The following is a 13,773-nucleotide window of genomic DNA, read 5'->3' on the forward strand; positions in this document are numbered from 1 at the left end:
GATAAAAGGTAACAGATGAGAAAGAGTAATGCGTGTTCAGGGAACCAAACTAGTATGGCTACAGCACAAGTCGCAGGAAAGGAGATGAGAAAGAGTAATGCGTGTTCAGGGAACCAGACTAGTATGGCTACAGCACAAGTCGCAGGAAAGGACATTAGTAACTAAGGTTGGGAGAACCAACTTTAAGTTATAGCAGAACACACCTGGTCTGAATCCTGGATCTGTTACCTTGGCAACTTATTTAATCTCACTGAGCCTCAGCTTCCTCAACTATTAAATGAAGTAACACCATCGACTTCACAGAGTCGGTGTGAGGATTAAATGAGATAGGCATGTGGCCACATGGTTTAGCCAATCAGCTGCTCCTGCTCAGCATCTGGAGTAAGTGACACAAAGTAGAGAGGGCAGAAATTCCTTCTAGTGGGTGCAGTAACATCGAATTCAGAGATGAGTCTGCGAAGCCTTCTGTGATTATCCCAGGCAAAATACATCTCTCCTTTGTTCTGAAAGCTTTGTTGAGATACCTAAGATTTCAACTCATAATTCTTATTCACATCTAAATAGTTACCTTCCTTGAATTCCTGGCAATAAGTCTGTCTGGTTATGACTTCACTCAGAATCAACACTTTTCTGGTGAATGTTCTTCATCCATCCCTGTTTTTACTAATCTTTTCTTCTCTTTTCTTGTATCATCTTTGTAGAGATTTTATTTTTGGAGACAGGGTCTTGCTCTTTTGTCCAGTTAGAATGCAGTGGTGTGATCATGGTTCACTGCAGCCTCGAACTCCTGGACTCAAGCAATCCTCCCACCTCAGCCTCCCGAGTAGCTGGGACTACAGGCACAAGCCACCACACCCGGCTAACGTTTTTTTGTTTGTTTTTGTAGAGACGGATCTCCCTATGTTGCCCAGGCTGGTCTTGAATTCCTGTCTCAAGCAATCCTCCCGCCTCAGCCTTCCAAAATGCTGGGATTACAGGCGTGAGCCACTGCCCCCAGCCTACTCTTCACTTTTAAATTAGACAAATTCTTCAGAAACAGCTATTGTGAGAGGTTCAAACTGGGAAAAGCAGCAGCTGTGTTCCAAGTTATGAGATTCTCCCTGCTTACCCTTGTACGTTGCTTTAGCCTTTACTTTTCTCTGGGAAAAGAAGTAGGCAGCTGCCAGGCTACTCACAACTCAAAGCCTCTTTCCTCCACCCTGCTTACCGCCAGGCTTCCTACAAGATGGCATGTCTATATCCTTTCATTTTTAGCTCTGCCTTCCTTGATATTTCTCAGTGCTAATGAAGTCCAAGGAAGCATCTGTTCCCATTGTTCCAAAGAAGGGACCGTGGTGCTGTCTCTTAGAGAGTGCTCCCCACGCAGACGCCTCCTCTCAGAGCCTCCCCACGTGCTGCTGCTTCACTGCATTTGGCAACTCCTCTCCATCCATTACGCTTTGAAGTTCTAGTGTCTGTTAATTTTGTTAAAGATGGAGTTTGTAGTTGTTTCTTATCCTTACTGTTTTGAGTTGATTCCAAGAGTAAAAGGTGTCAGACATGTTTTGATTCTGCCACTGATAGTTTTGTTTTGTTTTTCTGAGACAGAGTCTCGCTCTGTCACCCAGGCTGGAGTGCAGTGGCGTGAGTTCAGCTCGTTGCAACCTCCGTCTCCAGGGATCAAGCCATTCTCCTGCCTCAGCCTCCCAAGTAGCTGGGATTACAGGTGTGCACCACCACGCCTGGCTAATTTTTCTATTTTTAGTAGAGACAGAGTTTCACCATGTTGGCCAGGCTGGTCTTGAACTCCTGACCTCAGGTGATCCACCTGCCTCAGCCTCCCAAAGTGCTGGGATTACAGGCATGAGCCACTGTGCCCACCCTAATGATTTTCTGCAACCTAATTAATGTATAGATTAATATTTCCCTAGTGTGACATTATATTGTGACACTATCTACATTATGGTTTTGTACCAAAAATCTATGATTCTAGGCATGTAAATAAAAAGAGAATTATGTCTGTCTTTCATAGAGGCCATTCTTCTACATAGGTACTTGTTCGCAATGAATTTTGAAGAGTTCTTTCGAGACATGGTAAACACAAATAGACCTCAGTTCTTACTTCGCCATGTGAGAGAAAAAAAGACCATTTCTAGCCTTAGAAATCATTTAATATAGACTGATAAACTAATAGGCAAATTTTGTAGATTCCTGGTACTAAATAAGTGCTAACATTTTGAAATGAAAAGGTTTTACCTGAATCTGATTCCGCAGTTGTTCTGCTTCTTGCCTCAACTGTTCCAGTTCGCTCATTTTTTCAATTTGTTTACCTCAGGAGCTAATGAGTGAAAACAGCTGTTAAAAAACAGAGAGCAAGAGAAAGATTCAGTTCTCTACTTACATCTTAATCTGGTTTTACAATACTGACATATAACTTCTTTTTGGACCTACTGAAATTCAATGGAGGTAGTCAATTATTAAAGGAATTTAAAGATGCTTAGTAAATATAGAATGAGGTTATTTACTGAAGGGTTGTATACAAGAACATGATCAGAGGATGGAGGAGAAATTCCAAGTTGTAGTATTCAAGGCTGAATTATGGGGAATTAGTACCAGAATGGAGTCTGGTGAGAAATATTTTACAACAGTTCAGAGGACACCAAGAGACTTCCCCACTTGGATGTCTGGATTGGCACCTAACACAGTACCTCAAAACTGAACCCCACCCCACCCCCAAGCCTTCCCCATCTCAGGAAACGGCAAGACCATCCTTACTTACAATTGTTTAAGCTAAAAATGTGGGAGCAGTCCTGTTTTAATCATAGCCTCCCCATCGAATCCATTTGCAAATCATGTCAGTTATTCCTTAAGAAATTATCCAGGTTCTAATTCTGATTTCCTCCACTTCTACTGTCTGGGTCCACATCACCATGACCATCTCTCACCTGGTCTCCTTTCTGCTGCCCTCGACCACTCTCTGGTCTAATTAGAGCAACTAGAGATCCATTTAAAATACAAGTCACTTTAAATCCTCCAATGGTTTTCCACTCCACTAAACTCTATCTTGACCCACAGACCCTGTATCATTACACACACACACCCCCCTCTGACCTCATGTATCACTCTCACACTCACTCTGTTCCAGTTGTTCAAAGACTTCTCTGATGTTCCCTGAACATGCTAAGCAGGCCCCAGTCTCAGTGTCTTTGCATTTGCTCCTGCCTCTGCTTGGATAGCTCCTGTCTCTGATTTTATAATCCCTTGCTCCCTTACTAAATCTGCCCAAATGTGATCTTCTCAGTGGGACCTTTGCTGATAGCACATGTGCACCCAAACATGCTCCTCTTACCCTGTCTTGTTTTTCACTATGAGACTCAACACCATCAGCATGTATTTACTTACTTGTGATCTCTTTCCTTCTGATAAGATGTAAAGGGTCTGGTGTGGTGGCTCACGCCTGTAATCCCATCACTTTGGGAGGCTGAGGTGGGTGCATCGCTTGAGGCCAGGAGTTCAAGACCAGCCTGGGCAACATGGCGAAACCTCATCTCTACCAAAATTACAAAAATTAGCTGGGTGTGGTGGCACATGACTGCAATCCCAGCTATTTGGGAAGCTGAGGCAAAAGAATTGCTTGAATCTGGGAGGAGGAGGCTGCAGTGAGCCGAGGTCACACCACTGCACTCCAGCCTGGGTGACAGAGTGAGACTCTGGCTTTAAAAAAAAAAAAAAAAAAAAAAGATGTAAAGTTCCTTCAGGTAGGGTCTCTGTTTGCTTTATTCTTTGTTGTATCCCCATCACTTAAGATACTTTGGTCTCCAGTAAATAAAGCAACCTGAAATAGCTTAACAAATAAAGGAATATTCATTCTAAGGATTTAGGATGAATCACAGAACCAAAAGACAGGAATATTACTACCTCAAAAAGACACTAGAGGCTAGAAACTGGGAGTATTCTTTCTCTACCTGTCCTGGTCTCTTTTCTCTTCTTATCTTCCTTGGTTTTTTTCTTTCTACAGAATGACTTTTTCTGCTCCCCTAAGTACAAAACCCAAGCCTATAACTTTTTAGGTCAAGATTGTAGCCCGAAATGACTGTCCTAAGTCCAAATTCCTATAAAAGATTGATTCCCCTCATGAGAGAGAATTTGGTTTTGATGTCTATGCTACAATCGCATCAACTATGGTACAAATATCTGTTTATTATGTTCAGACAAAAAGAAAAGAAAAACCAGTATCTATTTATTCTTTCAGAATTCACTTTGTATTTATTTTGTCCAATTAAAAAATAAATGTATTGGGATTGACTGGAATGGCATTAAGGTATATAAAACAGTTCCAGAAGAACTAAAATCATTCTAATATTCCATTTCCAATTTAATATTGTGGCATATTTCTCTGTTTATCCAAATTTTCCATCTTTATTTATGAGTCTTAACCATTCCCTGATAAAGTTTGATTGTTTAACAATTTAGTATGCATCTCAGAGAGGGCCAGACTGGACAGATTACAGCCGGTCTGGAATCCCATTCCGCTGAAGTGAAGACAAGCAGCATGCGGGCTCTTTAAAGCCGCAACCTTAGCTGCCCTTGCTGACCATTCCTGAGATATCCCTGGCCCCACAGTCCTAGAAACTCTCATTATTTTGATACCTCTTTATTTTTAGGGTCCCAAAACATTTTGGGTAAGCACAACTAGTTTACATCCCTCCTACTAACTAAAACACTAGAAAGAACTATCGAGGGACCCTAAAGGGCCTCGGGACTTTTTAAAAATTTGCAGTTATTATTATTACTATTATGGTTATTATTTGTAGAGATGGGGTTCTAGCTATATTGCCCTGCCAAAGCACTAGGACCAAAGGCATGAGTCGCTGAGCCCAGGCTGGGTCTCAGAACTTTTAAGCTTATTAAAAATTACCTGTAACCCATCCTACTGCTGTCCTTCCCCCAAAGCCACACACACATACCAGTGACCTTCTAAAGCAGGAGTTACCTGTAATAAGAGTTACTTGGGATAAACTATGATCTGTACCAAATGAATGAGAATTTCCAGGCTGAGTGCCCCTAAGGATGGAGGTACCATGAATAGAAATGGGAAACAAAGAAAAAGCAGTTCCCTCACCACCATCACTCCGTGGATGGGGCACCGATGGGATGACGGGTGAGGCAATCTGTCCCAGACCCGGGCCCTTCCTGCACATTCTGGCTGGGAATGCCAAGAACACAAGTCCCTAGTGGCTGTTACTTGGGCCATCTCTCAGGGTTGTTTTGCAACATGCAACCTCAAGGAATAAGACAATGTCTCCTCATGAGATGAAGAGCAGAATGGCTTCTATTTACTGTAAAAGGGGTAAAACCCCCAAGCTCAGTGTCTCTAGGCTGTGATGAAATCCAGTGCACGTGCAGCATCCATCTGGGCCTACCTGTGTCACCCTGTGGGCACTGGGGAACACCGGGAATCAACACAAAGCATCATCACACCATGCTACTCACCGTTGAGTAATAAAATCTTTTGTCTCTGACCAAGGAGTTTCATCAAACAGTAACAGACTCATTTATTCGCTTGTAAGTAGGTAAAGATCCCAGGTCCTTTACAGTCATGGATATAGGGTTCAGAAGAAAAAAGATGAGGGGTCCAATGTGGAAAATAGTGAGTTTGTGGCTCATCCCTTCTTAACCAGGCTTCATCCAGTACTTCATCAGGCATTCTAGGTCCAGAACTTCAAGCCTTTTCACAGTACCCTAGCCTGCCTGCCCTTCCATCTTGTCACACTCAACAGCAAAAGCAAAACCCTGGATGAAAGCAGCTACCTACTTTCTTTCAGCCAGCACTCAAGTGGCCAAACATTGATTGAGAAAGTCAAACAATGGGGCATATCAGTTCTACTACAAATTCACATCACCAATCTCAACTGGGCCCTCAAAACTACCTGGCAACCCTGCACAGCTTTGTATGCACTGCTTCTGCTTTTGCTATCAAATATTTAAATTCCTTTGCAATCTTTTCAAAATTTTGACCTTCTCACAAGCCCTCTTGCAGCAGATGACCTTGCCATCTATATCATAAAGTAGAAGCCATCAAACATGAACTTTTTCAATCTTCCACTACTAGATATACAAAGCTATACATACATAACTGACTCATATTCCTCATCTTCCTTGTGTGTGTGTGTGACTGAGAGAGAGACAGACAGACAGACAGACAGACAGACAGACAGACAGACAGACAAAGGCCTCACTCTGCTGCCCAGGCTGGAGTGCAGTGGTGGTTAACTGCAGCTTCAACCTCCCAGGCTCAAGCAATCCTCCAGCCTCAGCCTCCCAAGTAGCTGAGCCCACAGGTGGGCACTACCACGTCAAGCTAATTTTCTTTTTTCTTTTTTGGTAGAGACAGGGTCGCCATGTTGCCCAGGCTTGTCTCAAACTCCTGGGCTCAAGCGATCCCCCCCACCTGAGCTTTTCAAAGTGCTGGGATTATAGGCATAAGTCACTGTACCTGGCCCTTCCTTTCTCTTATAATAGAATAGCTGACTTCTTTCCTGTTTGGGCCAATTCCTCCACTGGTGATTCATTCATTCATTCTGAGACAGGGTGTCACTCTGTCAACCAGGCTGGAGTGCAGCAGCACAATCACAGCTCACTGTAACCTCAAACTCCTGAGCTCACCCAATTCTTCCACCTCAGCCTCCCCCAGTAGCTGGGACTACAGGCATGCATTATCATGCCTGGCTAATTTTTTTTTTTTTTTTTTGAGAAATAGTGTCTTGCTATGTTGCCCAGGCTGGTCTTGACCTCCTGGCCTCAACTGGTCCTCCCACTTTGGCCTCCCAAAGTGCTAAAATTACAGGCATGAGCCACCATGCCCAGCCCCTCCACCAGTGATTTAAACTCTCACCTTTTAAGTAATCTTATACTTCCAGTATATTCAATCTCTTACACTTTTCTCTATTTTTAGTCTTTTTATTTATAAAATGTTCTAACACAGAGAAAGACTGAACAACCCTAATATTCATCATAGCTTCACAAAGTATTAATTTTTTTTGCTGTATTTGCTTTATCTTTTGTTTTTGCTGAAGTATTTTAAAGTCAGTTACAGACATCAAGACATTTCAGCCCTAAATACTTCAATATCTACCAAACCACAATACTATTATCATAACTACCAAAATTAACAGAAATTATTTAATATCTAAAACCCAGTAGATTTTCAAATTTTCCCAACTCTTCCACCAATGTCTTTTTACATCTGATTTGTGCAAATCCAGATCCAATTAAGAACTATATAATACATTTAGCTATGTCTCTTGTCCCACCATCTAGAAGTATCCATCTCCTGCCTGCTCTTTTGCACTTTCTGACATTGACTTATTAGAGAAACTAAATCATCAGCCAGGTGCAGTTGCTCATACCTGTAATCCCAGCTCTTTGAGAGGCCGAGGCGGGTGGATCACTTGAGGCCAGGAGTTCGAGACCAGCCTGACCAATATGGCGAAACCCCATCTCTACTAAAAATACAAAAAAATTAGCCAGGCATCTTGGCAAACGCCTGTAATCTCAGCTTCTCGGGAAATTGAGGCAGGAGAATCGCTTGAACCCAGGATGCAGAGGCTGCAGTGAGCTGAGATTGCGCCACTGCACTCCAGCCTGGGTGAAGAGTGAGACTCTGTCTCAAAAAAAAAAAAAAAAGACTAAATCACTTGTCCTACACAATGTACCCCAATCTGTTTACTTCTTATGGTACTGTTTAACTTGTTTATCTTCTATACTGATTGCTTGTAAACTGGAAGGAAGTTAGATCTACCGGCTAGATTATATTCAGGTTCAATATATTTGGCAAGAATCCTTCCAGGTGATGCTGTGGACTTCATACTGTAGCACATCAGGATGAACTTAATGTTTCTTTGTGCTACTATCAGTGAAGCTAAGATTCCTCAGTGTGTTCAGCTGTTAACAGCTTAATTTGTCCACTGTGGAGTTATAATCCCTCACTCTCATCCAGCAAACAATCTGTGGAGAACCTTTCAGTTTCAAGTGGGTCTTTTCCACCAGCAGCTAAATAGGCCCAAGTCCCTCCCTTAAAAAGAAAAAGAAAAAAGAAAAAATTCCTTGACTCCACATTGCACCATCACTTACAGTCCTTTTTCTTCCCTTCACCAAGGACTTTTAAAGAGAACTGCCTACACATGACCCCACTTTCTCACATGAAATTCTCAGTTCTCAAACCTCATGTCCAGCAGGCTCCGGCTATGTTTGGGCAGGCATGATGGAAAGGGAGCGTAGTTATGAGGCAAGGGGCTGAGAAATGTTGCTAAGCTGCAAAATCAGAACCCTTGTGATGCCTGTGCCAGACAACCGCAACCTTTCTTTGGATGTCTAAAAAGAAATGTCAAAGCTGCCCTTTTTTCCCCTTTCCTTTTTGCTGCTAAAAAGAGGAACTAACTTTTCACTCTTTAAAAAAAAACACAACTGATTCATTTTGTCACTTGGGAGAGAGAACATTCTGATTACACAGATTTTTGGGTGATCTTTTCTTCTCAGCCAACAACTGTTGGATTCCTGAGAATACCAATAAAGCATGAATCTAGCACAGACCAATAGATTATAAACTACTCTAAGACAAACCTAAAGGCTGACTAGGGTAAAAAAAGGCCATAGGATGCCCCAGGTGAAGCCTAATATGGCAAGTCCTAGTAAATATGTTTTGAAGGTAAGGATCCAAAGTGGCCAAACTGTATTGACATGTGTGTACACAATATGACTATAAAAATTTTTAATTCTTGGAAACAATACTATTACATCAGGTATAGTTTAGTAAGTAGCTCCCTCAGGCTGTTTATCAGAAGCATGCGTAAATTCAGGGAAGGGCAGGTTTTTAAGGACACATTTTGACAGCAGAAGAGAAAGTCATCTAACCACTTGCCCTCCTGCAGTTCCTTTACATCCATAGTTTAATAAGAAACAGAAATCAGGGAAGTGGCAAAAGGATGTCTGAAGCTTTGTGATGTGAGGAAAAGAAAAATATGGAAAGTGGAGGGGGGGTGGAAATTGGCAAGACAGTCACCCACTACTGAAGAAATCCTCCATTGGGTCTTAGCCAGGCGGACTAACTGCAGCATCAATTAATTCAGTGTTCCTTAAAGTTTAAAATAATCAAGAGCCCAATCTGAGAAGGCAGTAAACCAAAAAAATCATTTCTCACTGATCAGACTTTTCCTGAAATAATGATAAAAACACGAAGTGATTACAGACAGAAAGTTTTCCATCTACACTAGTTATAGGCAAAACAGAAAATTGAGTGGGACTTCTCCCAATAACACAGATCTGATAAATGAACCCCAAAGATGAAGACAAACAGGCATCAAGCATGCTATTTAAAAAAAAACAAAACCCAAAAACTTTCAACATAGGGGAGCAGAATCTCCCCAAAGGCTTACCAACAGTTCAATGACCAGCTGTACCCTCCACCCCCACCACACAGACACATCCACTGCTGACAATTTTTATAATTATTCCTATATATGAGAAAACTGGGGAGATGAGAAAAGATCAACTATAAGAGCTAGCAGCTTCCAGCTGGGCATGGTGGTCCACGCTTCTAGTCTCAGCCACTCAGGAGGCTGAGTGGGGGGATCGCTTAAGCACAGGAATTTGAAGCTGCAGTAAGCTACAATCACACCACTGCACTCAAACCTGGGAAACATTTTAAAAAGAGACCCTGTCTCTAACGGTGGAAAAAAAAAAAAAGCAAGCAGCTTCAGTTGGGTAAACACAAGGTATCTATGATGAGAACATAGATACCTCAAAAGAACAAAACACCAAAAAAAAAAACAAGTCACAGACTGAGAAAAGATAGTTGTAAGCTAAAATTCAAATAATGAATTAGCATCTAGAATTTTTAAAGTAATTACTTCAAATGAATCATTAAAAAGACTAACAATCCAACAGGAAAATGTGCAAAGATATGAACTGGCAAACCACAGCAGGAAAAGCTTCAGAGGACCACATACAAATGAAAAGACACTCAACCTCAGGAATCAGGGAAATGCAAATTAAAATAAGATAGAATGTCATGCCTATTAGATTAATAACATTTTATGTCTCAACCAATGGTTAGCAAAGTTGTAGAAATGGGACATATTCAATGGGACAACTCTTGGGGAAGCAATTTGGCAACATCTAACAAAGGTGACGACACGTATCTTTCAACCTGACAATTCAATTCTGCTTCTGGATATATAAGCCCTAAGGAATCTATAGTACATGTGCACAGGATTGAACAGTGTTCATACAGCACTACTTATAATAACAATAAACTGCAACACCAATGCCCACTGACAGGAGAACTGATCACTGTAGTGTTTTCACAGTGAATTATCATACAGCAGTGAAAACAAATGAACTAGTTACATGCAACATAGATAAATCTTTAAAATAATATTGGGAGGAAAAAAAAGCAAATTCCAGGAGACACACATTGGCATCATATCCCTTTTATAAAACTCAAAAAACAACTACAACTAAATGATACATTGCTTAACAATGCACACAATGGGCCAGGCGCAGTGGCTCACACCTGTAATCTCAGAGCTTTGAGAGGCTGAGGTGGGAAGATCACTTGAGGCCAGGAGTTTGAGACCAACCTGGCCAATGTGGGGAAACCCTGTCTCTACTAAAAATACAAAAATGAGCCAGATGTCGTGGTGTGTGCCTGTAGTACCAGACACTCAGGAGGCTGAGGCATGAGAATTGCTTGAACCTCGGAGGCAGAGGTTGCAGTGAGCTGAGATCACACCCCTCCACTCCAGCCTGGGCAACAGAGCAAAACTCTGTCTCATTAAAAAAAAAAAAGAAAGAAGAAAAAAAGAATGCACACAAGCTGGATGCAGTGGAGTGGTGGACGCCTATAGTTCCAGCAACTCCAACGGCTGAGGAAAGAGGATCGCTTGAACCCAGGAGTTCAAGGCTGCAGTGAGCTATGCCTGCACCACTGTACTCCAGCCTGGGCAGCAGAATGACACCCTGTCTCTTAAAAATAAATAAATAAAATAAGCAAGCAAACACAAATATATAAAAGTGAGTGCTACAGGAATCAAAGGTGAGTATATTTATAATTTATCCAACTCTTGTACCTGAAGTCCACTGGGAACAATAAAATAAATGAAATGGAATAAAATAAAAATAAAGAAAAAAGAAAATGAAGCTTAGGCAGGTTAAATAACTTGCTTAAGAATAGAGTTCAGATTTGAATCCAGGCATATGACTCTGAAACCCAGGCTGTTTACCACTCTGCCATACGGCCTCTTTTCAAAGGGCATCTTAAGACCTCTTTGCTCAATCTAATGATCCTCCCTTCTTATTGAAACTTCATTCCTAAGGCTTTCATGAACCCATACTTCTCTGATTATCCTTGTACTTAATTATTCCTTCTTTTTACCTTTGTGGGTCCTTCTCCTCCATTCATTTAAATATTGATTTATGTGTCCCAGGGTTCTATCTTCATCAAGCTAGTTAAGAAACTGCCCTCTTGGGAGGAAGCAAAGCTAAAGAGGAATATGAGATACACACACCATTCCTTTCTTTTACAAAAAAAAAAAAAAAAAAAAATCAGAAGGGGACAATGTAATCGCCAAGCAATTTCAACCAATAGTAATTTTTGCTCAAGATCACATTGGAGCTGCCTATCACAATCTTCAAAGTGGCATTAACATCGCTAAGGCAATTTTAAACTAATAATTAAATAGAAATTGTTTCATAAACACAGTGCTCTTATTTTGTTACCGTAACTTCTTGACTAAGCACTGTTTCAACATGAATATTTGGTTCATTTAACACATTTTAAATAACTATCACATAGTGAAAGCATTGTTGAGCAGAAAGCAGCATATGAGTTATCTTTTAAGAGTTCAGCTGTACCAGTTACAAATATCAAAAGATACTAATGAGCCACTGTATCCAAGCCAATTTGTTAAATAAAATGGAAAAAAATACACTTGCATAATTCGAATGGCCTTCTCACTCCATGTCTTAGAATGTCCACAGAACTTTTACTGAAGCAAGGCATTATGCAGGCTGTACAATTATACTGCTGTGTTAGTGAACACATTTTAATCTGTGCAAGACAAAAAAATACAAGTATTTCTTAGCTACTAAGTTTCATACCAATCATGAAAGCTCATATAAGCCATAAAAAATGTTATTTTAAATTGCACTTTAAAAATGTAAGGATAGGCCGGATCTGCAGTGGCTCACACCAGTAATCCCAGCACTTTGGGAGGCCAAGGCAGGTAGATCGCCTGAGGCAGGGAGTTCGAGACCAGCCTGACCAACATGGAGAAACCCTGTCTCTACTAAAAATACAAAATTAGCCAGGCGCATGCCTATAATCCCAGCTACTCCAGAGGCTGAGGCAGGAGAATCGCTTGAATCCAGGAGGCAGAGGTTGCGGTGAGCCGAGATCATGCCATTGCACTCCCGCCTGGGCAATGAGAGTGAAACTCCATCTCAAAATAAAATAAAATGAAATAAAATAAAATAAAATAAAAATGTAAGTATAAACTACTTTTGCTTCTCTAAAAGTCTATTCATAATTTTTAATTTGGTGTAAATTTTCTAGTATTCTTTTCTTTTTGCAATACAAATTTATATTTCTTACACTCCATAATTTTTAACAACCATAATGAATCAGGTACAATATTTAAAGCTTTTATGATTTTTTTTTAACTAAGAAATTTTAAAACACACATGCCCACCCACCCCAAGTGTTCCATACAAAGACATCTCCACGTGGCTTTCTTTCTCAGGAAGTTAGTCAAAACCGTACAGCTGCATGGGGCAAGTGGATAAGAGAGGAAAACAGAAGTTGCAGATGCTGAAATTGTAGCATACGGCATTAACTTTTGGTTTTTTATCTTGTTTTTTGTTTTGCTACCAAGTTACTCATTATATTGAGCATTTTTCAGTACCCTTAAAGTAAAACAATTCAACCCCTTGTGAACTGAAGGTAGGCTGTTTTGTGTTCCAGGAAATAAATAAGGCACTGCTCTCCAGTCTATTTCCCTTCACCTAACTGTTATGTCCTGGTAGGGTTTATTCTCTCATCAAATATTTACTGAATGTGCCAGGAACTGGGGTTACATATGAATAAAACTTAGGCCCAGGTCTCAAGGAGTTTACAGTCTAAAAGGGAAGACAGACATAAAAATACACACACACAGGCCCATAATCCATTACCCTAAACCCTAGGGCCAGATATATTTCAGAATTTGGAAGTTTCCAGGTTTTAGAAAGGTACATTCATTGTATTGGCATAACACCAAAACCAGACCCCAGAGCAGCACCCACAGAGTCAAGAATTAAAATTTCTGAAGCAAAATGTAAAGCATGTTCATATGAGGTAGGAAAAAAAGAGACTAAGAACCTATAACCCCAGCACTTTGGGAGGCCGAGGCAGGCGGATCACTTGAGGCCAGGAGTTCGAGACCAGCCTGGCCAACATGGTGAAACCCCATCTCTACTAAAAATACAAAAATCAGCCGGGCATGGTGGTGTGAGCCTGTAGTCCCAGCTACTTGGGAAGCTGAGGCATAAGAATCGCTTGAACATGGGAGGCGTAGGTTGCAGTGAGCGGAAGATTGCACAACTGCACTCCTGACTGGCAAAAGAGCAAGTCTATCTCAAAAAAAAAACAAAAACAGACTAAGCAATAGCTTCATGTTGTTATAGTTCAGGTCACACTGTGCCACCAAATGAGTTCAGGTCATATAAGGTTTTGCCACTAAATTATTTGTGAAAAGG

At 41.0% G+C, this 13,773-nt stretch overlaps 1 protein-coding gene across 5 annotated transcripts in view, besides 1 other annotated feature; it reads right to left on the reverse strand.

Moving 5' to 3' along the window:
* The window catches only part of GNB4 (G protein subunit beta 4), a 131,711-nt gene that overhangs the window by 27,821 nt on the left and 90,117 nt on the right, over positions 1–13,773 (reverse strand). For all 5 annotated transcript variants that reach the window (XM_047448654.1, XM_047448653.1, NM_021629.4 and 2 more), the window contains one exon: positions 2,236–2,334. In XM_047448654.1, coding sequence (XP_047304610.1) covers positions 2,236–2,292 — 57 coding nt within the window. In that variant the 5' untranslated portion in view covers positions 2,293–2,334. The remainder of the gene's footprint in view (positions 1–2,235; positions 2,335–13,773) is intronic.
* Positions 8,359–8,418: an enhancer, noted in NCBI's record as "active region_20867". NCBI's record gives its function as "activates an Ori minimal core promoter by ATAC-STARR-seq in GM12878 lymphoblastoid cells {active_cell/tissue: GM12878}" and the evidence as "EXISTENCE:reporter gene assay evidence [ECO:0000049][PMID:35858748]".

The sequence above is a fragment of the Homo sapiens genome, chromosome 3 (genome assembly GCF_000001405.40).
Source record: "Homo sapiens chromosome 3, GRCh38.p14 Primary Assembly".
NCBI classification, from domain to species: Eukaryota; Metazoa; Chordata; class Mammalia; order Primates; family Hominidae; genus Homo; species Homo sapiens.